Source organism: Homo sapiens, chromosome X (genome assembly GCF_000001405.40).
Source record: "Homo sapiens chromosome X, GRCh38.p14 Primary Assembly".
Lineage (NCBI taxonomy): Eukaryota > Metazoa > Chordata > Mammalia > Primates > Hominidae > Homo > Homo sapiens.
The window spans coordinates 16149808-16173443 of record NC_000023.11 but is presented as its reverse complement, the minus strand read 5'-3'; the positions used below and the strand labels follow the sequence as shown (position 1 = coordinate 16173443).

Sequence of the window (23636 nt, the reverse complement as noted above, 5' to 3'; positions counted from 1 at the left end):
TTTTAGTAGAGATGGAGTTTCACCATTTTGGCCAGGCTTGTCTCAAACTCATGAATCAAGTGATCTGCCCGCCTTGGCCTCCCAAAGTGCTGGGATTACAGGCATGAGCCACCATGCCTTCTATTACAAAGAAAACCAAATGAGCCAAAATGCTGCTTGCTAAATCCAACTGAGTAATGATTCCCCATGAGAGGATCAGTCATTTTAACTGGGTGTGAAGAAGACTTCCCCAGTCAGATGCACCACGAAGACGCTAGAAGGTGTGCAGAGGACAAACACCTTTCCTCCTTCCCAGCTGCCCTTGCGTTGAACCCATCCCTAGTTTCATTCGCCACCATCAAAACTCTGGACTACGCAAAGAACTGGCCATCCTATGCAGTACACCTCCTTTCCATTCCCTTTTAATGGAGCAGTCTGGCTCCCCCAGGCCAGGGACAAAAGGACCAGGCCAGTGGCTGCTGGACATCCTACCTGAAGGGAGCATCACCCTCATTCTCAGAAACAACCTAACACAGCAGGCAAACCATCTATATAGTGCACTGTGCTCACTGGCATGGGGACACAGCACAGGAGTCCTTCCAATCCTGCCCCAGGTGGGGATGCCCCTCTGGTCTACCTCATCCCCAAGGAACTGGTGGGACCACTTTTCCCTTGAAGGCCTAGTCTGTCCACTCTGAAACCCACCACCTGAGGGTCTGGTCTCTGCTCACCATTTCAACAACAGCCTCATCTAGCCCCTGATGCAGGCTAACTTGAAATGCCCTCCTACTGAGGGACTGGCAGTGTCTCAAGTTCCCAGCCTACCCTGTCCCAGGGCATTTATAGTAGAGGAGGGGCAATGCAGGGAGGATCCTATCTTGAATCTCCTCCCTCCTCTCCAGTACCTTGATTGCCCCTTAGGTATTCCAATGTGTCTCTTCCGCGCATCCCACCCCAACCCCACCGTGTTCCTAATAGGAGAGCTGCTCTTGGATTCTAAAATATCATTGTGAGGGGCTGGGTCTTCTTTGTCTGTGCTTTCCCAGAACTAGCATGAAGACTGTCAAAGAGCAGATGTTCAATTCATGTTTGGTGAATGACATAATTCAGATGTTTGTCCCTTCTAAATGTCATGTTGAGATATAATTCCCAGTGTTGGAGGTAAGGCCTGGTGGGAGGTGTTTGGACCATCAAGGAGGGTCCCTCATGGCATGGTGCTGCCCTGGCCATAGTGAGCGACTTCCCCTATCTCTGGTCATTTGAAAGCATGTGGCACCTCCCACCCCCGCTCTGCTTGGCTGTCTTTCCTCCCACTGTTGCCACGTGACATGCCTGCACCACCTTCCCCTCCTGGCATGAGGAAAAGCTCCCCAAGACCTCCCCAGAAGCAGTTGCTGGTGCCACGCTCATAGCCTGGTGAACTGTGAGCAAGTCAACCTCTTTTCTTTAGCAATTACCCAGTCTCAGGTATGCCTTTAGAGCAACACAAGAACTGCCTAGCACAAGGAACAAAAGAGCCAGTGAGCAAGTGTTCTCCTTTATGATGATTTAATTTCTCCAACATTCTTGAATACACATAGCAACTGTGAGTATATAGCTTTTCATTTTATCACAACAAAAGACTTAAAGAAATAAGATTTTTAAACGTCAAAGGTTGCCAATCAATCGACACTTTTTTCCCACCATCTTGTGATCCCAACTGATGCAGTGTTCAGTTGTTTCACAGTTTAAAGCCAATCGCTATTCCAATGCTATTTCTTCTTGCACTAGATCATAATCTAGTAAGTAAAAATTTCCAATTTGTTTTACAAAATACAAGAACATCACTCTTCAATGTGATAAACAGCAATAATTGTGTGAGGCACCTAATTCATGAACTTAGATTCTGAATCAAAGTCAATCTCTTTCAAAGGAACACGCGGTAGACACAGAAGAGAAAGAGGAATCTATAAGTGGCTTGCAAATAACCAGAACAAAAGAAAGACACGTCTTGGGCTCCCCACCTCACCCCCAAATACTGAGATGGTGGACAGGCTTTTCAATCTCTTAGTGAGGATTGCCTGAGACTTCACTAGGGCTGAAAGGACCTGCTAGCCCTGGCCCTGGCGCTATCCCTGGCTACCGCTCTGGCTCTGGCTTGCTCTTCCTCCTCTCTCAGAGCCTCCTCATACCGGGACTTGTAGGTACTGGCAACGGTATCATTGAGCTTGGCCACAAACTCCAGGACTTTCATTTTGCTGGTTTCAGCACGGGCCCTGGGACCCCACAGGAACTCGTAGCGTGGAGGATCGCTGCTGGGCACCTGCTGGTACTCCAGGTACCCCTCTCGCACCAAATCTTTGGTGACAAGCTCCTGGGGCTCCCCATAGATGAAGTGCTTCCTACCCTTATACATCCCCAATGCATTCAGGCATTCCCACATCTCTTCCTCAGTGGCACGGTTGCCATGCATGAAGATGGTGCTCAGGAGAACCATCAGGAGCCCGCTCAGGGGAAAGCCCCCGCCATCGCTCAAGCTTCCTTGATTGGGAAAGTCCAGCTTGCCAACAAGCACATAGGACTGACGGCTGGGGTCCATTTCCTTCAGGTAGAGGCCAAAGACCACCTCTACGTTCTCAGTGCTTCTCCGGAGGATCTCAGGGAAGTGCTGCTTGTACTTTCTGTTGATAACCTTCAGCATGGCTTCCCTCGTAATGGGCTCTTTCCTTATATACTTGTTGAGGAGGAACTGCACCAATTCGCCCGTCTTCGTGTTCAGAAGATCTCTTCCTGTGCTCTCAGAGGAGGACGGGCCATGGAAGGAGTTGGGACTTTCCCCCTTTTGGCCCTTGGCACCTTCATCAGAACTTGTGAGTGAAACAGCTGAAGCAGGAGAGCTGGGGTAGCTGGCTCTCTGGGACTCCTGAGGAATGCCTGCATTGGGGAAGCTCTGGGGAGGACTCTGGCATGCAGGAGAGGAGGAGGATGGCAGCTTTTCCTTCTCTGCTGCGGTGGCTTGAGCACCCCCGAGACATTGGTCTTCACCTCGAGCCTGGCGGCGTTTCTCACGGGCACGGCGCTTACTCGCCTGACCGCGAGGCATGATGACTGTGCTTAGGGGCAGCAGGCAAGAGGGTGCAGGAGGTGGGCACCTGGAGCAGGAGGAACAGAGTGTGTGAGCCCCTCAGTGGGGAGATATCACCTTAAGGAGGCCTCCATGCAGGTGTCCTTGAGGACCCTGCTCCATAGCCCCACCAGGCTCCTGTTCTCCAGGGCAGCCTGTCCCCTGGGGACCCTGGGGAGGAAGTTACAGTGCTCCTTGCCCTGCAGCCTGCCAGCCCTGCCTGAGACCAAGATCCTTACTTCTCTGTTTCCTCTGAGGGGAAACTGAGGCCATCTGGGCTTGACATCCCTGTCTGGGGCCTCAAACCTCTGACATAGGGAGGGATCCTGAGGTCCTCTTACTAATTTGGGGTCGGTGGCTCCACGCTCCTCAGGGTCCTCACTATCTGAGGCCCTTCCCTTCAGGTCAAGGCCCTCACCTTCCTGAGACCTCACCCCCACCCCAAGGGGAAAGAAAGCATGAGTCCCCTCCAGCCACCCCTGTTCATGGCCTTTCTGGACTGGTAGCAGGGTCTGGACTCTCAGAGCCTCTGATGTTCTGGGTTCGGTGGCCCTGTTAGTCCTCACTTAGGCAGAATGTGGGACATGTCGCTCAGCCCACCAGATTCCTCCAGCCTCAGCCCCAGGCCCTGTCCACTCTGAGCCCCCATAGGCTAGAAGTGAGGGGCCCTCTATCCGACTCCCTCTCCTGAGGTTTCCCAGGCCTGAGAGGGAAGCCAGCCTTTGTGGTGCCCCCGGATCCAGGTGAGTGCTCTCCTCAGCTCTCACTCAGAGTCTTAACCCTGATTCCCATCATTACCTGGAAAACACTCCTGTCTTAACCTGAGACTTATTACCTCATACCAGCCCCTCCATTCTGAAATACCCCTAGGAAGTAGTGACGGTCACCTCAGCTGGCCACAAATGCTCATCATGTCCCAAGACTGGGAGCAGTGGAGATTTTCTGTGTTGGCCCCACAGTTACAAATGGGTGGTCCCCTTGGTCCTCAGGGTCTTCACCTTGACTCCTGGCAAGAGCTTAACAACCTCCAGCAGCTGTCTTGAGGCTGTCCCTTTTACCCAGGCTCTTCACCTCCCTGAGATGCCCTGGGAGGAAATGCCACTCACCATGCCAACGTGCCTGGGTCTCCCAGAGGTGACAGTAGGGGTGGTGCTCTATGTGGCCTACTTCTCCCTGGGAAGGGCTCCCTCTTCTCATTCAGTGTTCTCCCCTTGACTCCCACCAGGGACTAAGTCCTCCTTCCCACCCCACCATGAATGGGGCCTCGCCCATTGGTGCAAAAGAGCCACTTCTCTGAAACGCCACCCTGACCCCTTCAGGACACGAGGGGTCACCAAATGCTAATGGCTCTGCCCATGGTTTCCCAGGGCGCACAGCAGAGCTGAGACTCTATGTGGTCTCCTGTGTTTTGGAATGGCCATTTTCCTCCCTCCTCACGCAGGGTTTTTTTTACCTTCACTCCCCACAGAGCCTGGGACTCCTTTCTCCGCTGACCTGGGGCAGCCAGTCTTGCAACCAAAGCCCTCTGCTGAAACGCTCCGTGCAGCCCTGTCTACTGAGGGCTCAGGATCTTCACCTTGCTACTTGACCAGTCCTGGGACTCCATCCTCAGCTCACTACAGGCAACACCCTTCAAAGCAAGATCCTTGCTTCAATGGGACCTCAGATTTGGACATTCAGGGTAAGCCACATCCTCTCAAGGCTGTTTAGGGCCTTCAAGGCGTGACAGCAGGGGTGGGACTATAGGGGACCCCACTGCTCTGCCTCAGGGTTCTGAACCTGGCTCAGGGTGGGACCTCCAACTCTTTGGGACGCGACTCAGGTCGCTCCACTGACCTGAGTCAGCCAGGCCCAGGCCCAAGCTCTCACGTCCCAAAGTTGCTAGAGGGAAAAGTCACGGCATGCCCCGTCTGGCTATGCCTGCACGGGGTCTCCCAGAGCTGACAACAGGGCAGCAGAAACCTGGCTCTCTGGCTCTCCCTGGCTCTCTTGCTTTTTCCTTTTTTTTTTTTTTCTTTGTGACAGACACGGGGTCTCACTCTGTCGCCACGCTCATGGCGTGACCATGGCTCACTGCAGCTTCGACCTGCTGGGCTCAAGCGATCCTCCTGCCTCAGCCTCCCGAGTCGCTGGGGCCACAGGCGCCGGCCACCATGTCCCGCTAGTTTTTGTTCTTTTCTTTCTTGGAGAGAGAGGGTCTCGCTTTGTTACTCAGACTGGTCTGGAACTGCTGGGCTCGGGTAATCCTCCCGCCTCAGCCTCCCAAAGCACTGGGATCACAGGTGTGAGCTACCATGCCCGCCTCGTGGGCCTCCCATGTTTGGGAGAGGTCTCCTCATCAGCATCAGGGACCTCATTTCGATTAGGGCCTAGGAGTCCATCCCTCTGCAGAATCGAAGCCTCACCCTCACACCAAACCCTCCCCTCCCTGGTGCCCTCTCAGAAGTCAGTGCCACAGCCTGACTGGAGCCTCCCGCGGCTGAGGGAGGTGGGTACCCGGGGGCGGGGGTTGGGGGACACAGGGTGGTCGCCTTGGCTGCGTGTGGTGGGCCTTTCAGTCCACGATCAGGGTCCTTACCTTGATACCCAACCAGTCTTGGGGTTCTGGTAGCCTGAGGTGGCGTCCCTCAGACGAAGATCCTCACTTCCGGCAGCTTCCCAGGCGGGCGGATGTCGGAGTGAGCCACATCCAATCAAGTCCCTGCTGGGTCTCCCAGGGCTGAAAGCGGGGCGGGGCTCTGCTCGGGCCCCCTTTTTGCATAGAAGTCCTCTCCAGTGTACTCAGTGTCCTCTCCGGGACTCCAATGAGTGTCCAGTTCTCCTCCCTCAGCTGAACTGTGCTTTTGCCTTTAGACAGAGTCACTACCCTCGTTAGAGCATCTAAGCAGAAAAAAAGGGGTCCTCAGCTGAGGTCTTTGCTATGGCTGACAAGATTAAGCATTTTTTTATTTTTGTTTTTATTTTTTGCTGATAACCATTCCCTTATGTCACTCTCGGTCCTCACCTTGATTCGAGTCAGTTTCTGGGGCTCCACTATGCACAGCTGGGGCTTCCCCCACCAGACCAAGATTCTCCCTTCCCTGAGACCCTCCAGGCCGAAATGACAGTCACCTCAACCTGACAGCTCTTCCTGAGCTTCCCAAGTCACAGGAGAGGTAAGGATGGTGTGACAGGAGTGGGGATGGGATGGTGTGGCAGCGGCGGTGCAGGGAAGGGGAGATGTGGGTTGGTGGAGGTAAGAGTTTTTGTGTCTTCCTCTGTTCTAGTATGGATGTGTGGTTTTCTAATTGCTCCCTGAAATTCCTCACCTTGACACCTGACTGACTAGTCCTGGAACTCGATCCTCATGGGACTTGAGGCTGCTCCCCTCTGATCAAGGTCTTCACCTTCCTGGGACTACAGAGTTGTAATCAGGATGAGCCAAATCTACCAATGACTATTCCAGAACGACAAGGGCTGTCAGCCAGGGCAGGACTCTATGGGACCCCACTGTTCTGGCTTGTTCCTTCCTTTATTCTTAATTCAGGGTCATCACCTTGGTATCTATCAGAAGCTCACAGTCCTTCCTCTACTGACCTGAGTTTGTCTTCCTGAAATCTCTCATGCTCCTGAGAACCTTGAAGGATAATTGTGGAGATGCTCAGCCTCAGCCCTGCCTGTGGCCCTCTAAGTCTGAGAGCAGCCACAGGCTGGTCTCTGTTGGACCTCCAATATTCTGGGATGACGGTATCCTCAGTCCTCCTACATGGGGCTTCACATCTTGGTTCCTGTCTCATTAATTCAAGGCTTCCTGGGAAATGCCAAATCCCTGCAATCTCTTTAACAGTTTTTCTTCCGCAAACTTTGCAGAGAATGGCTCCTTGCCCTGAAGTGATGAGAGATCAGGAAGTTGTAGCTCAAGGCAGGGGGCCCAGGACAAGTGGTGGGTGGTCAAAATAAAGCCAGTTGGTCTATTCCATTTCTTTACCAGCCAGACTTTGCCTCTGCTGTAACTTTGGTTCTAATAGATTGGCTTTCTCCAAGGAAGGGTAGGGCCACATGATTCTGTGAGTCCCCAATCTTTTCAGGTGATCTGACATCACATATGTAGATGATCATGTGGTCACTGAGTATTGTCTCTTTCTTTTCCTTATTCATAGCTCTCATTTATTTTTGTATTCTTATTGCTCTGGCTATGTATTCCAAACCAGTAGTTTGTACACGGTATTTTTCTTCTTATTACTTGATATACAATTTGGAGTAGGGAGAAGAAAAGTGAATTAAGATACACAAGGTCTGTCTCAGGCTGAGATGAGTGTGACAGTATGGGAATAGTTTTATTCTAAATAAACAATACTCGCCGGGCATGGTGTCTCACCCCTGTAATCCCAACACTTTGGGAGGCTGAGGCGGGTGGATCACCTGAGGTCAGGAGTTCGAGACCAGCCTGGCCAACATGGCGAACCCCTGTTGCTACTGAAAAAATACAATAATTAGCTGGGTGTGGTGGCAGGTGCCTGTAATCCCAGCTTCTTGGGAGGTTGAGGCAGGAGAATTGCTTGAACCCGGGAGGTGGAGGTTGCAGTGAGCCGAGATTGCGCCACTGCACTCCAGCATGGGCGATAGAGTGAGACTCCATCTCAAGAAAAAAAAAAAAGCAATACTTGCAGATGGTTAGCAAGAAAGTTTATTTTTTTCTTACCATGGCATTCACCAGCATGTTTCATGCTTCCTAGTTAATATGAGCCCCTATGACAAGTTTGACCACTCACAGTGATGTATGTTAAAGAACTCTCAGAACGTTCCCCTGCCTTTGACTACAGGCCAGAGAGTCATGGTTCCTTTACTTCTTGTCTGGAGTGGGCATCATTTTTAATAATGGTGAATTAAGTCAGTGTTAGTTGGTGCTAATCTGTGCACCACAAATGACAGTTGTTTATTTGATGGTCCTATTGGACATGACAAGTAAGGTAAATACTAATAGTTGCCTAAAAGGCAGAATTTATTAACTCTGACACTTCCCTCCTCACTTTGGCTATTTATGCTCTGGGTCTGTGGTTGTGAGAAACTGATCACATAGAGCTCTGCAAAGGGAATTTTGTGGTTTTCTCTGATTGGTTCAGACAATGCAATAGACATGAGGGATGGCAAGACAGAGAGAGAGAAATAAAGAAGGAGAGGGAGACAGAGAGGGAGGGAGAGAGACAGAAAGAAGGAAAGAAGAAAGAAAGGAAGAAAGAAAGAAAGAGAGAGAAAGGAGAGAGGGGGTGGGGGAAGAGGAAAGAAAAGAAAAAGAAAGAAAGAGAGAGAAAGAGCGTTGGGGGAAGAGGAAAGAAAAAAGAAAGAAACGAAGAGAGAGATAGAGAGAAAGAAAGAGAGGGGTGGAGGAAGAGGAAGGAAGGAAGGAGAGAAGAAAGAAAGAAAGAAAGAAGAAAAGAAAAGAGGGAGGGAACGGGGGAGGGAGGGAAGGAAGGGAGAGAAAAAGAGGAAGGGAAAAGAAAAGGAAGAAATGAAGGAAAGAAGGAAGGGATGGAGGGAGGGAGAAAGGAAGGAAGAAGGAAGGAAGGAAAGAAAGCCTTATAGAGAAGAAAAGGTCCCTGGCCCTAAGAAGCTTTATTAGTCTCATGCAGGAGTCAGCAAGTGACAACTTTCAGGCCAAATCTAGCTCACCACCTGTTTTTGCAAATGCAGATTTATTAGAACACAACCACACTCACTCATATACATGTTATCTATGACCGCTTTCATACTACAAAGGCAGAATCTAGTAATCATGACACGGACTGTATGTCATGCAATGCCTAAAATATTTACTCTCTGGCCCTTTACAGAAAATGTTTGCCAATTCCTGATTTCCTGGGATAGATCAGCATTTACACAAGTAAATATAATTCAAAGCAGGATATGATTAAAAAAATAAGACCCATGTAGAAAGTACTGTGTGAGTACAGGAGCATGGGAGGGCTTCACGGAGAGAGAACACTGCAGCTGGGCTTTGGGGAATGGGTTGGATTCAGGCCAGCTGAGAGACAAGAGGACATTTTAGGTGAGGTAGTCCTCAACCCTGTCTGCTTATTGCAATTGCTTGGAGAGCTTTGAAATAGAGACGTCTGGGTTCCCCCTCCTTGAGATTCTGACTCGGCTGTTCAGGGGCAGGACCTGGGCATCAGGATTTTTTTTTTTTTTTGAGACAGAGTCTTGCTCTGGAATGCAGTGGCCTGATCTCGGTTCACTGCAGCCTCTGCCTCCCGGATTCAAGTGATCCTCCACTTCAGTCCCCAGAGTAACTGGGACTACAGGTGTGCACCACCATGCCTGACTAATTTTTGTATTTTTTTTATAGGGATGAGGGTTTCACCATGTTGCTCAGGCTGGCCTCAAACTCCTAGGCTCAAGTAATCTTCCTGCCTTGGCCTCCCAAAGTGCTGGAATTATAGGTGTGAATCACTGCGCCTGGCGGTCATCAGGATTTTTAAAAACCCCACAGTTTATTCTAAGGGCAGCCCAGGTTGAGAAACACTGGCCCAAAGAAGTGTCAGGGAACAATTAGGAGCCAGGTGTGAATGGAGGGAGTCTCTGGGTGCAGAGGGAAGGGATAGTGCAGTGGGAGATAAGCCTGGGAAGTAGGGAGTCAAATCAAGGTCAGAGAAATTAGATTTTGTCCTGGGAAATGGGGACAATAACAAAATGTGGGCATGAGAGCAACATGATCAGAGGCATGAATAAGGAAGCATAATCTAGAAAAAAAAAAAGTAAAGAAGAAAAATAAGAGCCTGTTAGGGGTTATTTGCAAGAGTTTAAGCAAAACAAGGAGCATATCTTGTTTAGGGCAGTGACATGTGATATGGTTTGGCTGTGTCCCCACCCAAATCTCATCTTGAATTTTAGTTCCCATAATCCCCATGTGTCGTGGGAAGTACCCAGTCGAAGGTAATTGAATCAAGGGGGCGGCTACCCTCTTGCTGCCCTCATGATAGTGTGTGAGTTCTCATGAGATCTGATGGTTTTATAAGGGGCTTTTCCCCCTTTTACTCGGCACTTCTCCTTCCTGCCATCATGTGGAGGATGTGTTTGCTTCCCCTTCCACCATAATTGTGAGTTTCCTGAGGCCTCCCAGACTTGCAGAATTGTGAGTCAATTAAACCTCTTTTCCTTATAAATTACCCAGTCTTGGGTATGTCTTTATTAGCAGCATGAGAACAGACTAATACAGTAAATTGGTACCTGCAGAGACTGGGGTGCTACTATAAGGATACTTGAAAATGTGGAAGCGAATTTGGAACTGAGTAAAAGGCAGAGGTTGGAACAGTTTGGAGGGCTCAGAAGGCAGGAAGATGTGGGAAAGTTTGGAACTTCCTAGAGACTTGTTGAATGGCTTTGACCAAAATGCTGATAGTGATATGGACAATGAAGTCCAGGCTGAGGTGGTCTCAGATGGAGATGAGGAACTTTTTGGGAACTTGAGTAAAGGTGACTCTTGCTATGCAAAGAGACTGACAGCATTTGGCCCCTGCCCTAGAGATCTGTGGAACTTTGAACTTGAAAGAGGTGATTTAAGGTATCTGGCAGAATAAATTTCTAAACAGCAAAGTGTTAAAGAGGAAGCAAAGCATAAAAGCTTGGAAAATTTGCAGCTTGACGATACAATAGAAAAGAAAACCCATTTTCGGGGGAGAAATTCAAGCCTCCTGCAGAAATTTGCATAAGTAACAAACAAATGATAATCACCAAGACAATGGGGAAAATGTCTCCAGGGCATGTCAGAGAACTTTGCGGTAGCCCCTCTCATCACAGAGCCCCCCTGCTGTGTGCAGCCCAGGGACTTGGTGCCCTGTGTCCCAGCTGCTCCAGCCATGGCTAAAAGGGGGCAAGGTACAGCTCAGGCCCTGGCTTCAGAGGGTGCAAGCCCCAAGGCTTGGCAGCTTCTACATGATGTTGAGCCTGCGGGTGCACAGAAGTCAAGAATTGAAGTTTGAGAACCTCTGCCTCGATTTCAGAGGATGTATGGAAACCCCTGGATGTCCAGGCAGACGTTTGCTGCAGGGGCAGGGCCCTCATGGAGAACCTCTGCTGTTGAAAAGGGAGGAGTATTCCCTCATCCCCCTCACAGGGCATGCAACAGGGATGTGGCTCACTTCTTCAGTGCCCTGCTACTCAAACCCCTAGGAGGAGCATGCAGACAGGCAGGTCGTGAGGAGTGTTTTGGGGCTCTAACCCCATGGCGGTGTCTAGGGTTGTTTACAGCGCCTGAAATCCCAGTGGGCATGTGTTACAGTGTGCTCTTTCAGTTGCGTGTTAATCAGCTCAATTAGACTCTCTGCCTTATGAAAAGGACAGAGGGCTTTCTGAATCCTGGGTTCTCGCCATGCTGTACCAGAAAAATCAGATCACATGTGGGCTTGCAGAATGAGTGCAAGGTTTTATTGAGTGGTGGAAATAGCTCTTAGTAGATGGATGGGGAGCCAGAAGGGGGATGGAGTGGGAAGATGGTCTTCCCCTGGAGTCAGTCCACCCAGTGGCCAGATCCTCCTCTGACTGCCCTGGTCGAATTCCCCTTGGTGTCCACATTGTTCCACCATTGATGGCCTGCTGGCATCTGCTGGTGTCCGTTGGTGTGTTCTCCTGCTGGTGTGTTCCTCTCAATGTCCAGCCACTTTGTGTCCCTCAAGTTTATATGAGCACGGGATGGGGGCATGGTGGGCCAGAAAAATGCAACATTTGGATGCAAAAACAGGAGTGCCTGTCCTCACTTAGGTCTGTGAGCACATGCCTGAGGGTGGAGCCCTTACCAGGGACCATGGCCTTCTCTACCCAGCCCTTCTCTGCCCCCTTCCCATATTAGTAGGGCAGTGCAGAAGGGAAATGTGGGGTTGGATCCCCCACACAGAGTCCCCACTGGGGTACTGCCTAGTGGAGCTGCGAGAGGAGGGCCATAGTCCTCCAGACCCCAGAATGGTAGATCCACCGACAGCTTGCACTACTGTGCACCTGGAAAAGCCAGAGCCCCTCAACACCAGCCTGTGAAAGCAGCCAGGAGGGGGCTGTACCCTGCAAAGCCACAGGGACAGAGCTGCCCAAGGCTGTGGGAGCCCACCTCTTGGATCAGTGTGACCTGGATGTAAGACATGAAGTCAAAGGAGATCATTTTGGAACTTTAAGGTGTAATGACTGCCCTGTTGGATTTCAGACTTGCCTGGAGCCTGTAGCCCCTTTGTTTTGGCACACTCAAGAGCTCCCTTGGCAAGGCTGTCAGTGTGCCTCTCAAAGAGTTTTGTGACTGCATCTAATAGACATCTCTGGTATTACCTCTTCTCACCTGGAGTACAGGGAGCTTGGACAGCCCTAATTTGCATCCACTGTAGCTGTGTCATTTCTTTGTCATCAGCTTATTTTGTTCACAACTTAGCGACTGTGGTATTTCTCATGCTGCCTAACGTTTGCTGTTGAGTATTTTAAATATTCCTAGAGACTTGACCACTGGCTTAGTCATTAGGCAGACTTCAAATAAGTGGAATTGGTGACAAAGAGAGAAAGAATTTGCTTCCTGACAACTGATCCTGCAGGAATGGATAAATGAACTAAATGCCAACTCTCCTCACTGTCTCTGGAACGCTAACCTTAGAATCAATTACTCTTTCTTCACAATAAGCAGGAGCCAAGATGGAAAGAAAAGTAGGCTTCAGGTAGTCAGTAGGCTAAACATCTGGAACTTTCAGCTAGACTTCTTCACTTTGATTTATAATTTGTGTGAGCTTTCCTGCTCTCTGATGCCTACGATTATCCCAGGAAACAGACACTCCCAAACTTTAATGTTCAAGTCCTAAAGAGAGCAATTTAGAATAACTGTCAATATTATAAAAGCGTATGCTCTTTGTTTCTGCAGTTCTACATTTAAGAATTTTTCCTACAGCAACACTTGCTCATGCATGAAATTGTGTATGTTATTCATTGCAATATGGTTGATAATAGCCAGATATTGGAAGCAATCTGAAAGTTCATCAATGGGGGATGGGTAAATAAATTAGGGGCTACTATGCCGGTGTAAGAAAAAATGAGGAAGTGCTTTATACAATAGTCCCCCCTTATCTGTGGAGGATATGTTCCAAGACCCCCAGTGGATGCCTGAAACCACAAATAGCACTGAGCCCTATAGATACTATCTTTGTTTCCTAAACGTACATATTTATTATAATGTTTAATTTATAAATTAGGCAAGGTAACAAAATAACAACAAAAACTGACAAGAAAATCCAACAATTATAACAACATACTGTAATAAAAGTTATGTGAATGTGGTCTCTTTCTCCTAAAATATCTTATTGTACTGTACTTGGCTTTTTTCGGACTGCAGTTGTCTGTGGGTAGCTGACATGGCAGAAAGTGAAACTGTGGATAAGGGGAGACTACTGTTTACCGATATGGAAAGATCTCTAAGATATGGTATTTAGTGAAGTAAACAAGGGGCAAACAATGTATAGGCTACCATTTCTGTAAAATGGTGGTGGGCTTCAGGAAAACACAGATTTGTATTTATTCGCATATGCGTAAAAAATGTCCAGTAGTGTACACAAGTAAGAAACTAATAACATAACAATGGTCACTCCTTTGAAGGGTTTGGTAATGGGTGCAAAAACTGTACAGAGGGGACAATGGTAGCTGAGTAAGTTTTCACTGGATTCCTTTCTAGGCTTTTGGTTTTGGACCATGAGAATGGCTTACATATTCAAAAGGTAAGTACATATTTTAAAAATTTAATTAAACACCACACCCCCAGCCTAAACACTGACATTGTTCCAAGTCAATAGAGGGTTGGGGAATCTGCATTTTGCAATGAGCAGCCTGGCTGATTCTGATGTAGATGGTCCAAGGAACCAAGGAACTGTGGGGCACATAGCCACAGACTATGTTCATGCAACAACTATTTTTTATTGAACGTTGGATACATGTATCTGTCCATTTCACAAATTATGTTTTATTATATTAAAGAATAAACCTCATTTCTTCTACAACTTGAACATCCAGCTTACTATACACGGGATCTGACTTAATGTCATACAGACCACTTACAATGTGATAGAAGCATTGGAAGCATTTGTTGAAAAATAACAATTTCACTCAAAGCACACTTTATAGATAGAGTTTTACATGGTCACAGAGTTAAGTCTGAACATTTAAAGGGATCTGAGTCATTCATATTAATATTGTGAATTTCTTATAAATAATTCATTTGTTCAAGGAGTCCAGGCAAAGCCAAGCCGTGACATTATTTACACTAAGTACCACACCTGGAACTTGTTCTGAGTTATTTAACACAGAGTACATTTTTCAATGCAATAAATATTTACAGTTAATAGTAGCAAGTACAATTATAATTTATGAAATATGAGTCTAATATTTAAAACAAAACATAAAATGACATTAAAGAAGTTTGTGCCATTTATTTTTACAACTCACCGAATTGACTGTTTTACGAATTTTATTACCCAAAACTCTACTGACTTGAATGCAAGAAAGGTCATGTTTGAATCAGTAAAGCCCAGACTGCAGAAAAAAAAAAACTTTTAGAAGATAATGAGTTTTACTTTCTTAATGTTATACACGTATTATTAATGTCATTAGCTAAAATGGAAGCAAAGTTATGAAAATCTGGATTCACAACAGGCTCAAATTATATAATGTACCTTCAACATTGAAGTTCTGAGTTATGCCAACATTTTTAAGCTTGTCTGGGAGTTAATGAGGCCTTGAATGTACGAGGTTTTACTGTCCATTAAAATTATTCTTTTAAAATGTCATAAAATTATGTGAGTCCTTTCATGTCATTATATGACTCTGTGAGTGAATTTTAAATTGGGGGAAAAAAGGCAAATAATCTTATCTTCTAGAAATGTGAGCTCAGAGAGGGCCGAGAGACAGTGGTGTCTGTGTTTAGAACAGGGCACCTAGGGCTGGGCACTCAGATACCTAAGTCCATATCTGAGTTTCTTATCTGTCCCCTTAGTCCAGGAGATGCTTTTCTGTTAGAGGCTATTTATGTAGCCTGGGTCCCCAGACTCTAGGAAACCAACCATTGTCGTATCTTACTCTATTTTGGGGAAAGTGGGGGCGTAGGTGGTTCTACCTCTACCTGACACTTTTTCTCCAACTAATTCTGATTCAAAGAAAGATGGCTAGATTCGCTGTTCTCATTTGGGTTTTCTCTCTAACTTGGTCCTTAGCAAGTTTTTTTCTCTCCTCAGACACAGAACTAGGTGGGAAATTCTTCCCAGGGCTTCCAGTTGCAAGTGAATTGTGTCTCTGAGTAGGGGAGAAGGAGGGTGCGAACAACTGACCTAAGGGACTTTCTGACTCACCCGCTTTGTGCTGCATTTCAGCCTCTGCCCTCAACAATTCCTTAAACTAGGTGCCTCAATGCTCTTTGCATACATTCTTTGACTCTATCATTAGTTCAGGTCTCTGGACAAAACCTAGAATAGGGAGTGGAGTTTTCTTCTAAGTACTGTGAACTTAATTTTTCACACAGGTTGGATTTGGGAAGCAATGCTAAGCAGTGGAATGGACATCGACATAGAGAGATCAGCTCCACACTTATACTCTGCCACTCAACTTCCCCATGTGACTTGAGGATCAGTAAGTAATCTCCCTGCCACGGCTTCATGTGCCCAGCACTGGACTTGGCACATTGTCAGTGTTTGGTGAAGTTGAGCCCCTTCCTTTCCAGCACTTCCAGAGCCACAGCACTCCATTCAGGTTTTGGTCAAATTTGGTGTATTTCTTGGCCAGTGTCTTTGCTCCCAAGGATCCCACCCTTCTTTGTCTTAGCCTTCCATTTCATTGTGGCATTGAATGTTGTGCCCACCAATATGTCTCTCCTGGGGCAGCCCACAATGACCCTGTCCACTCCCTTGTGCCAAGTTAAACAGATTCACTTTGGGGACAAGAGAATATCCTGTAAAGTGGAGAAGTGATGATCAGCACTGCTCTTCAGTATAACTGAATAGCCCATGGGAATGAAGTACAGTTAGTTCACCTCGAAACAATATGAAATCAGATTAAGCTGAACCAGATGAAATTGCCTTTTTGTAGTTCGAAAATGGCCCAATCTTAACAGTTTCATGTTTCAGCCTCATAGTTCCATGGGCCTTTTAATGTAATGGTAGATGGTCACATTTCCATAGTAAAGGATGTAAAGCAGCTCTTTGGCCAGCAGGGAAGGCTTGGATGAAATGAGGTAATGAGTATAAAAGTACTTTATAGACCATGAACACTAGGTAAATGCAATGTTTTTAAAAAAATTAGTCATGGACATGATTCCACAGTAATATTCTAACCCAGGGATTCTTAAATTTAACATATGTGCAACATTGAAGCTTTTTAAAAATTTAGATACATTCTACTGAATGAATTTCTAATGTGAAGTCTCATAAGAGAAAAGTCTGTTCTCAGTGTGTTATTTGTTGATTGCTCTGAATATATTCAGCTGGACTTAATGCTTGGCCGCCTGCAATATAACAAAGGGTGTTTCTGAAGGCCAAAGTTACAGTAAGAGATTGTGAGATAGTGAAATTGTCGTGTGTATTTGAGAAGTGTGTGTCTGGGTGTGGGCTAGGAGAAATGAAATGACCATCCAGATACGGAATAAAGTAGAGCTTGGTAAGCCTTGGTTTCATCGAACAGTGTGCACAAAGCCTAGGCCCATGAAAGCCTAGGCCCAAGAAAGATTCTTTAATCCCTTTGTTTTCAGCTGTTAATCCATTTCATAAGAATACAGCCAAAAATTAGACAAGTGTACAAAAGGTGCTCCATTCCCCCAGAAACCCAGGGATAATTCTAAGCTACTCTCTAACAATAGCTACCTCCTGTTGTGGATGTGAAGAGCACAAATGGCAAGAAAGTTTGCACCCTTCCCATCTCACCACGATACAAGTGGATGGCTCTTCATTCAGCTTCCATACAGTCAGCTTCCCAGGGTGATGGTTTCTAGCTGGCTTCCAGGAACAGTGACTTAGCCACTTTTTAGTCCACAGATGATGCCATTCAATGTGTACTCCCCAAACAAAGTTAATCTCTATTACCAGAAGCTACTTGATGCATGAAGACACTTTGAAACAAATAACCAACTGCTGCTTTTGACATGAATGAAGACTTTACAATGCAAGGATGCTCATGTGCTATTGTCAAGTTCATTTATTTCTGTTCAGTGTTCATTTTCATAACAAGATGAGCTTGGTTCATCTGCAGCAGCCCCTAAACAGTTTATTTACCTAGGGGTTCTCCATCCTCCCGGATGGAACCAAATTGTTTGTGGACAAAGAGGGAAATCCAGAGCTTGTTAATGAGGCGGAAGGCAGGTTCAGTGTGAGAGTGAAGGCAGTCAAAAAAACAGGGTTTAGCCATCCACATTTATGGAGAATCATCAAATCAACAACAGGGAGGGGCCCTGTCTTCACTAAGCAGGGAGGATCTTCTTGCTAAAGAATATCACTCCCAATAGCAGCTGCACCTTCCCTGCCAGCAGCAGCCGTTGGTGGGAAGATTGCTTTGTTTATTGCTTAATCTATCACTGTTGAGCTGCCTGCCTCAGGGAGGCTCAATTTAAGATAGATTGAAAGGTAGTGTCTGTCAATTGAATAAACACAGATGGTTTTCCACAGCAAAAATTGATTTTTTTTTCTTGCCAAAGACATAAGTGCTAAACGTGATTATCTTTGGAAGCCAGGCGTGAAATGTCTCAGCTCCAGCCCCTGCCACACTCTGCTTTGGCAGAGAAGTGATACACGTGGGGACTTGGGTCTCTCTCACGTAATTTTAGGTTCTTGAGGTGGAATAAAATAATAAAATTTTGATTTCCCTAGAGAAGGGCCCAACTATGCCCTTCCTGGTAAGAAGGTCTAAGTCAATCCATTAGTTGATTCACAGAATAGTTTTACCAGTCCTTGGTCACTGGCTGGCAAAGGCCTCCTTCAATCCTTTCATTTAAGAGTCTCGAAGAAGTAGTAAGATTTGGCCGGGCACAGTGGCTCATGCCTGTAATCCCAGCACTTTGGGAGGCCAAGGTGGGTGGATCACCTGCGGTCGGGAGTTCGAGACCAGCATGACCAACGTGGAGAAACCCCATCTCTACTAAAAAAATACAAAATTAGCTGGGCATGGTGGCGCATGCCTGTAATCCCAGCTACTTGGGAGGCTGAGGCAGGAGAATCCCGTGAACCCAGAAGGCAGAGGTTGCGGTGAGCCCAGATAGTGCCATTGCACTCCAGTCTGGGCAACAAGAGCGAAACTCCATCTCAAAAAAAAAAAAAAAAAAAAGTAATAAGATTCGCCTAAGGACACACAGCTACACTTAGACCTCTATCTCCTCACTCTTTGTCCAGAAGCTAGGAAGAAGACCACACACAATCTATGCCATGATGTTAACTGAAGGAGACATGAAGATGAGCTCTACTCCCAAAATGTCTCTGGAAGCAGGTAGATCAGAGATGCCTGAACGAGTTATGCTAGGTATTCAAAAGGCTATACATGTTAGCAACTAACTAAGCATAGAGTCATTTATATTCAAGGGTTTTGAAGAAAGCCAAGGGCAAAATTGTGGAACACTAGTTCAAAATAACAGATTCATGGAGGTTGAAGAAGGGTGAATAGGAAGAGTATCCTTTGTATAATGAGAAGACTCAGCAATATGTTTTCTTATGTCTCTTACAGCTCTAACTCCAAAACATAGCAAGCTCGCGGAACATCAGGGTTCATGCAAAGTATTCCAAGGAGCCCCTTGAAGCAACAGAATGGTCTGTCTCCTTTCATACCACTAACGTGAACACAAATATAGAATAGCGGTTGATTTCCAAAGAGTTGTTGTTGCAAGCGTAGCAGAAGTGAGGCTACTGTGACCAAATGGGCTACAGAAAGGCTGCAAAGACAGAACTAGAGACGATGAAGAGACTCAGAATTTTAGCGATAGACAAGACCTTAGCACTGTCTTCTCAGTCTAGAGATGAAAACAAGAGTCTAGACAAGTGAAATTGATAGCCAGAGTGATATAGCTAGAGGCAGAGTTGGACTGTCAAGCTAGAAATCTTGGTTCTTTAAGCTATACTATCTGTCTTGCTTTTCAAACTGTTCAATGTAATTATGGACTACCAGCAAAGCAGGTTTGTACAGTACAGACGAGCACGTAGCAAGCAGAATTGAAGTTTCATTCTGTCTTGGTCCCAACTCCTAAAGCTCCATAGACAGTGGGCACTTCTTCATATCAAGAGACAAGAATCTTTTCATATGTGCCATGTGAAAATGAGAGCCAACTGTTTGTATCTCATCTGGATAGAGAAAACCTAAATTAAAATTGTCTTAGAATTTTAATGTGTAAGGGCACATTTGTAAAATTTGAATTTATTTGAAAGTGGGTTAATATGTTTGCAACCTGTCAAAATTGCCCTCTTTGAGTGAAAAAAAACTCGATTCAGGGTTTCTAAAGTAAGGGAATCAAATCTTTTTAGAGCCAACTAAACTCACTTAGAAAAAGAAAAATATTTCAGCCAAGTCTTTTTCTGCACATGGCTCTTTCATAAATACTCTTCTTAAGTAGAAACAAGTCTGTAGCTGTTTTTCAATCAGTTCTTAAAGTTAAGACCCCTGTGACTTTCTTATACATATTCAGACAAAAAATACGTGTTACTGAAATTTTATTCACTTCCTCCCACAAACGTTAGGAGAAGCATACATTAAATATAAACATGTTCCCATTTCTACTCAGATACAATCCCTTCTTTCTTATAGTGAAACTACTGATTCAGTGTAGCAGTCAAAGACAAATCTAAGTAAATACATTTGACTCAAAACCTATGTATCAAGAATAAATACTGTACTTTATGCATTTATAGATATTTGATTAATTAATAGCATGATTTTTTTTTTCCTAAAAGGATTGCTCTTCTATGGTGGAATGGCACCCTGGATGATTAAAACCGTAGCAGCAAACAAAACCTCCATCAAGTAAGAATTCAGAGTGTGAGATATCACGCACAGCCACGCGTGGATCTTTATATACGTGTCAATGTGTTTGATTGTATTTTTGCTTTCAAAGTATGTATTGAGCATTTCTTCTAGGTCCTCAGTAACATCTTTTTAAAAAAAAAATAAATGCTTAGGGAATTGTTTTATATTAAACTCGCTTCCATTGTTATCAACTTGGAGAGTGTCCCTCATACATGGAGCTCTCTCACAGGATTGACTTTTCATATTAGGAGTGTAAATAAAAGTTGTTCCTTGGTTTGTGTATTACAGATATTCCTGAAAACAGAGTCAAGTTATATTTCTAAAGTACTAGCGTCTGCTTAAAGAAATGACAAGGTGAAGTCTTTCACAAAGTAAGCATTCAATGTATGATTTCTCTGCTATGTAAATCTGGTTGTTCATACAGTTTCTATGACATAATTGGCCACGACCATTTAACAGGGCTTGAGGCTTAAAAAATAATTTTCTACTTGTTCCCTTTTCTGAAAAGGGAAGGTTTGCTTCACATCAGAAGAAACGTTCACAAGTTGAAATGAAAAACTTAAGACTTGATGGCTTCTTTCAAAATATAATGGTGATCCATCATTTGGGCCTCCCCACCCCCACCTACACCACTCAGGAGCATTCTGAAGGCTCTTTGGAGGGCACAGACACAACAATGGATGCAAGGGTTCCTGTCTAGCCATAAAGCAAAACCGTCCCTCAGGGGGCAAAATCAAGGGTCAATCTAGACATACCGCTCGTGACAGATGTTTCCATTGATGAGGCTAAAGGTGGCCACGGAGGGGTTGGTACTCTTGAGGGAGGTCATGCAGGTTGTACTCCTTCCAGTGCTGTGAGACCGGATGATCAGGCCAGGCTGGCAACAGAGCAGCTGAGTGTTGAACTGTTTCCTGAAACTCTTGCTCAGCAGGTAGAGGGCAAAGGGGTTCACGCAGGAGTTGGTGAAGGCCAGGAGGCGGGCACAGATGCTGGTGACAAAGTGGAGCATGGAGGTGTCCACCTCAGAGTAGTGGTAGGAGCGGTACAGGTAGATGACATGATTGGGGAGCCAGCAGAAGGCGAACAGGCCCACAAACACCAGCACTGTCTTGGCAAGTCGCTTCCGGGATTCAATCTAAGGAGAGAATCACATGGAGAGAGACAGAGGAACCAAGGGACAGTGTCAGAAGAATGCAGAGAGACAAAGATTCAGGCAGAGAAAGAGAAAGGGAAAAACAATTAGGGCAATAGAGGAGTTCACAAAGCCACCGAAAAAGAGTTCAATAGGAGAGGGCAAGAGAGAATCCAGTAAAATGAGAGAAAGGCAACAGAAACAGACAGAAAAGGAAAAAAAAAGAGTCAGAAACACAGAAATGGATGAGCCAGGAAGCAGAAACCCACGAGGAAGAATAGAGTTAGAACATACCACTGAGAACAGATCTTTAAACAAAGTTGATTACATGTTTGAATGGACTGCAACATGAACTTCTAATAAGTGCCCCCTTTTTCCTCAGGAGAGCATTGGTGCAGTTTATCAGCCATACTACTTCATGTCTTTCTTTTCTCCACAGTTAATAATTTCTTATTCCCTCTCATGCTCAGAAAGAGCAGCCAGCTTTGTTCTTCTTCACTGGCTAAACCAAGATAACTCTCTATTATTATGATTTTAAAATCTTGAGTTATCTCTGGACTATAGTCTATAGAAAGAGACTGTGGCAAAGAGGGATGGGCATCTCCTTTTGCTCCCAACTCCATCCACTACCTCAAGGGGAAACATGTTTCTCCATAAAGAGTTTGGGGTACAATGGATGTTGGCTAATGAGAGGCTTTTCAAGTAGGAAGGTAGTTTCATTAGAAACTGCCACTCTTCCCCCACAACTGAGACAAATACATAAATAATGAACGTTAAAGGGTAAGGTCTCCAAGTGAGTCAGCTATTCACTGAAATGGAGTGGGGAGTGTTTCTGCTTTTCCATCATAGATGCTACATGATCTACACCTGGGCTAGAAGGCAAGCACTGACAAAGAGGAGGAAGCCGGAGCCCTTGCTTTCTACCATTTGTTTGTAACTCAAGGATGAAATTATGGAGTGTTATGGGGGATAAGAAAGAGAGTCTAATCATATGGAGGGCATCTTGCATGCTGGGCACTGTAGGCCTTACATATACTCTCTCTTGTAATCTTCTTCCAATAGTTTTACAATGTAGGGATTATAAGCCTATCTGATAGGTAAGAAAACTGAGGCTCAGAGAGGCTGAATACATCATGCGGCTTGGACTTGAGCCCAAATCAGTGTGAGCCTATCCTAATCAAACTACTCTTTTTCTTCAACTGCCCTCACTTTCCAGCCTCCTGCTTTGTCTCCATGTGGTAATCCTCTTTCTAGGCAAACAATGTGACTGGAGTTTAAAGAAGTCACATCCCCATGAGCTTCAAAGCTTCATTTATTTATTTTAAAAATACAACTCTTTTTCAGATTATTTCTCCAAAAGAAACCCACACTTGAAATATTTCAGGTTCACAACACCTCCCTAGCTTAGGTCTTTAACAGGAGAATAAGACTATAAAGAACACCTTGGGTTTCCATGGCTAGGCATTTCCATTTAGCATCTGGCCACACATCACCCACCTCATCTAATTGCAGATTCAAGTGTCATGGCTTGTCAGTGGGGTCCAAAAGAAATGCAAGGGATTATATCCCCAAGGAGGAAATGAATCAATCCTGAGCACCTACCTGCTTCTTGACATGTATATTCCCTTCCACGGGAAGATTGTAAGCACTCTGGATCAGATTTTTAGCAATGAAGTAGTAGTAAACAGAGATGATCGACAGTGGAATGACGTAGAAGACCAGAAAGGAAGCCATAGAATGGATTTTGGGGTGAAGCTCATTAGAGTGTGGGTATGGGGCACAGCTAATGAAGGTCTGGTTGGTGCTTTCCTCATGGAAGGGATGGAGGTCAGAAAACACGGCCTCTGGAATGGCCAGCAGCATGGAGATGATCCAGATAAAGGCGGCTTTGAGGCAGATCTTCATCAGGGCATGAGAGGCCTGGATATCCATTGGCCGGACAATGGCTTTGTATCTAGGGCAGGAAAGAAGCATCCCCATCAGTTGCATAATATTATTCTGAATACCAGGGCCAGGACTAAGTTGAGGCAAGCGAGACACCTGGCGTACAATATTTAAGGAGGTGCTCACTTTCGGGTCCTGAGGGTGCCGACTCTGAGCTCTGTGACCCTGAGAGTGAGTGCCTCCTTAAATTTTGTACTCCAAATAGCCACTTGCCTCATTCTAATCTAGCCCTGAAGGATGCCTTCTCTTCTCTCCACAAGTACCATTCCGCTTATATTCTCTTTTTGTCTTAATTTAAAGCCAATTAAAAATAAATAAATAAAAATTGTATATATTTACTGTATACAACATGGTGTTTTAAAATATGTATACACTGTGGAATGACTAGATTGAGCTAATTAACATATACTTTACCTCACATACTTATCTTTTTAAAATGAGAACACTTAAAATCGACTCAGCAATTTTCGAGTGTGCAATACATTGTTATTAACTATAGTCACCATG

The 23636-nt window shown here is 45.6% G+C and overlaps 2 protein-coding genes and 1 long non-coding RNA gene across 4 annotated transcripts in view, besides 2 other annotated features; 1 reads left to right on the top strand and 2 right to left on the bottom strand.

Annotated features, from left to right (window-relative positions):
• Positions 1-1979: 1979 nt before the first annotated feature.
• On the bottom strand, positions 1980-5963 carry MAGEB17 (MAGE family member B17). Of its 2 annotated transcripts, none has more exons than NM_001277307.2 (2): positions 5661-5963; positions 1980-3110 (listed from the first exon to the last, which is right to left on the bottom strand). In NM_001277307.2, exon 2 carries the CDS (start codon positions 3059-3061, stop codon positions 2051-2053), a length of 1011 nt encoding a protein of 336 aa, NP_001264236.1. In that variant the 5' UTR covers positions 3062-3110; positions 5661-5963; the 3' UTR covers positions 1980-2050. The 2 variants fall into 2 exon arrangements, with proteins under 2 accessions (NP_001264236.1, XP_047298311.1); XM_047442355.1 differs by lacking the exon at positions 5661-5963 and adding an exon at positions 4536-4970.
• Positions 4343-5228: an enhancer, noted in NCBI's record as "H3K27ac-H3K4me1 hESC enhancer chrX:16186339-16187224 (GRCh37/hg19 assembly coordinates)". NCBI's record gives its function as "activates a minimal SCP1, AML or CMV promoter by ChIP-STARR-seq in primed H9 embryonic stem cells {active_cell/tissue: H9 hESC(primed)}" and the evidence as "EXISTENCE:reporter gene assay evidence [ECO:0000049][PMID:30033119]".
• MAGEB17-AS1 (MAGEB17 antisense RNA 1) lies at positions 4765-20344 on the top strand. The gene is made up of 5 exons (NR_187144.1): positions 4765-6237; positions 13749-13791; positions 15585-15691; positions 18764-18846; positions 19981-20344. It is a non-coding gene; the product is annotated as an MAGEB17 antisense RNA 1 (long non-coding RNA).
• Positions 11845-13044: an enhancer, noted in NCBI's record as "P300/CBP strongly-dependent group 1 enhancer chrX:16178523-16179722 (GRCh37/hg19 assembly coordinates)". NCBI's record gives its function as "activates an origin of replication core promoter dependent on BRD2, BRD4, P300/CBP, MED14 and CDK7 cofactors, with strong dependence on P300/CBP, by STARR-seq in HCT116 cells {active_cell/tissue: HCT116}" and the evidence as "EXISTENCE:reporter gene assay evidence [ECO:0000049][PMID:35650434]".
• GRPR (gastrin releasing peptide receptor) overlaps positions 19926-23636 on the bottom strand; it is a 29954-nt gene continuing 26243 nt past the window's right edge. Inside the window, exons 2-3 of the mRNA NM_005314.3 lie at positions 22788-23139; positions 19926-21188 (exon numbers count right to left, since the gene is read on the bottom strand). Coding sequence (NP_005305.1) covers positions 20799-21188; positions 22788-23139 — 742 coding nt within the window. The 3' untranslated portion in view covers positions 19926-20798. The remainder of the gene's footprint in view (positions 21189-22787; positions 23140-23636) is intronic.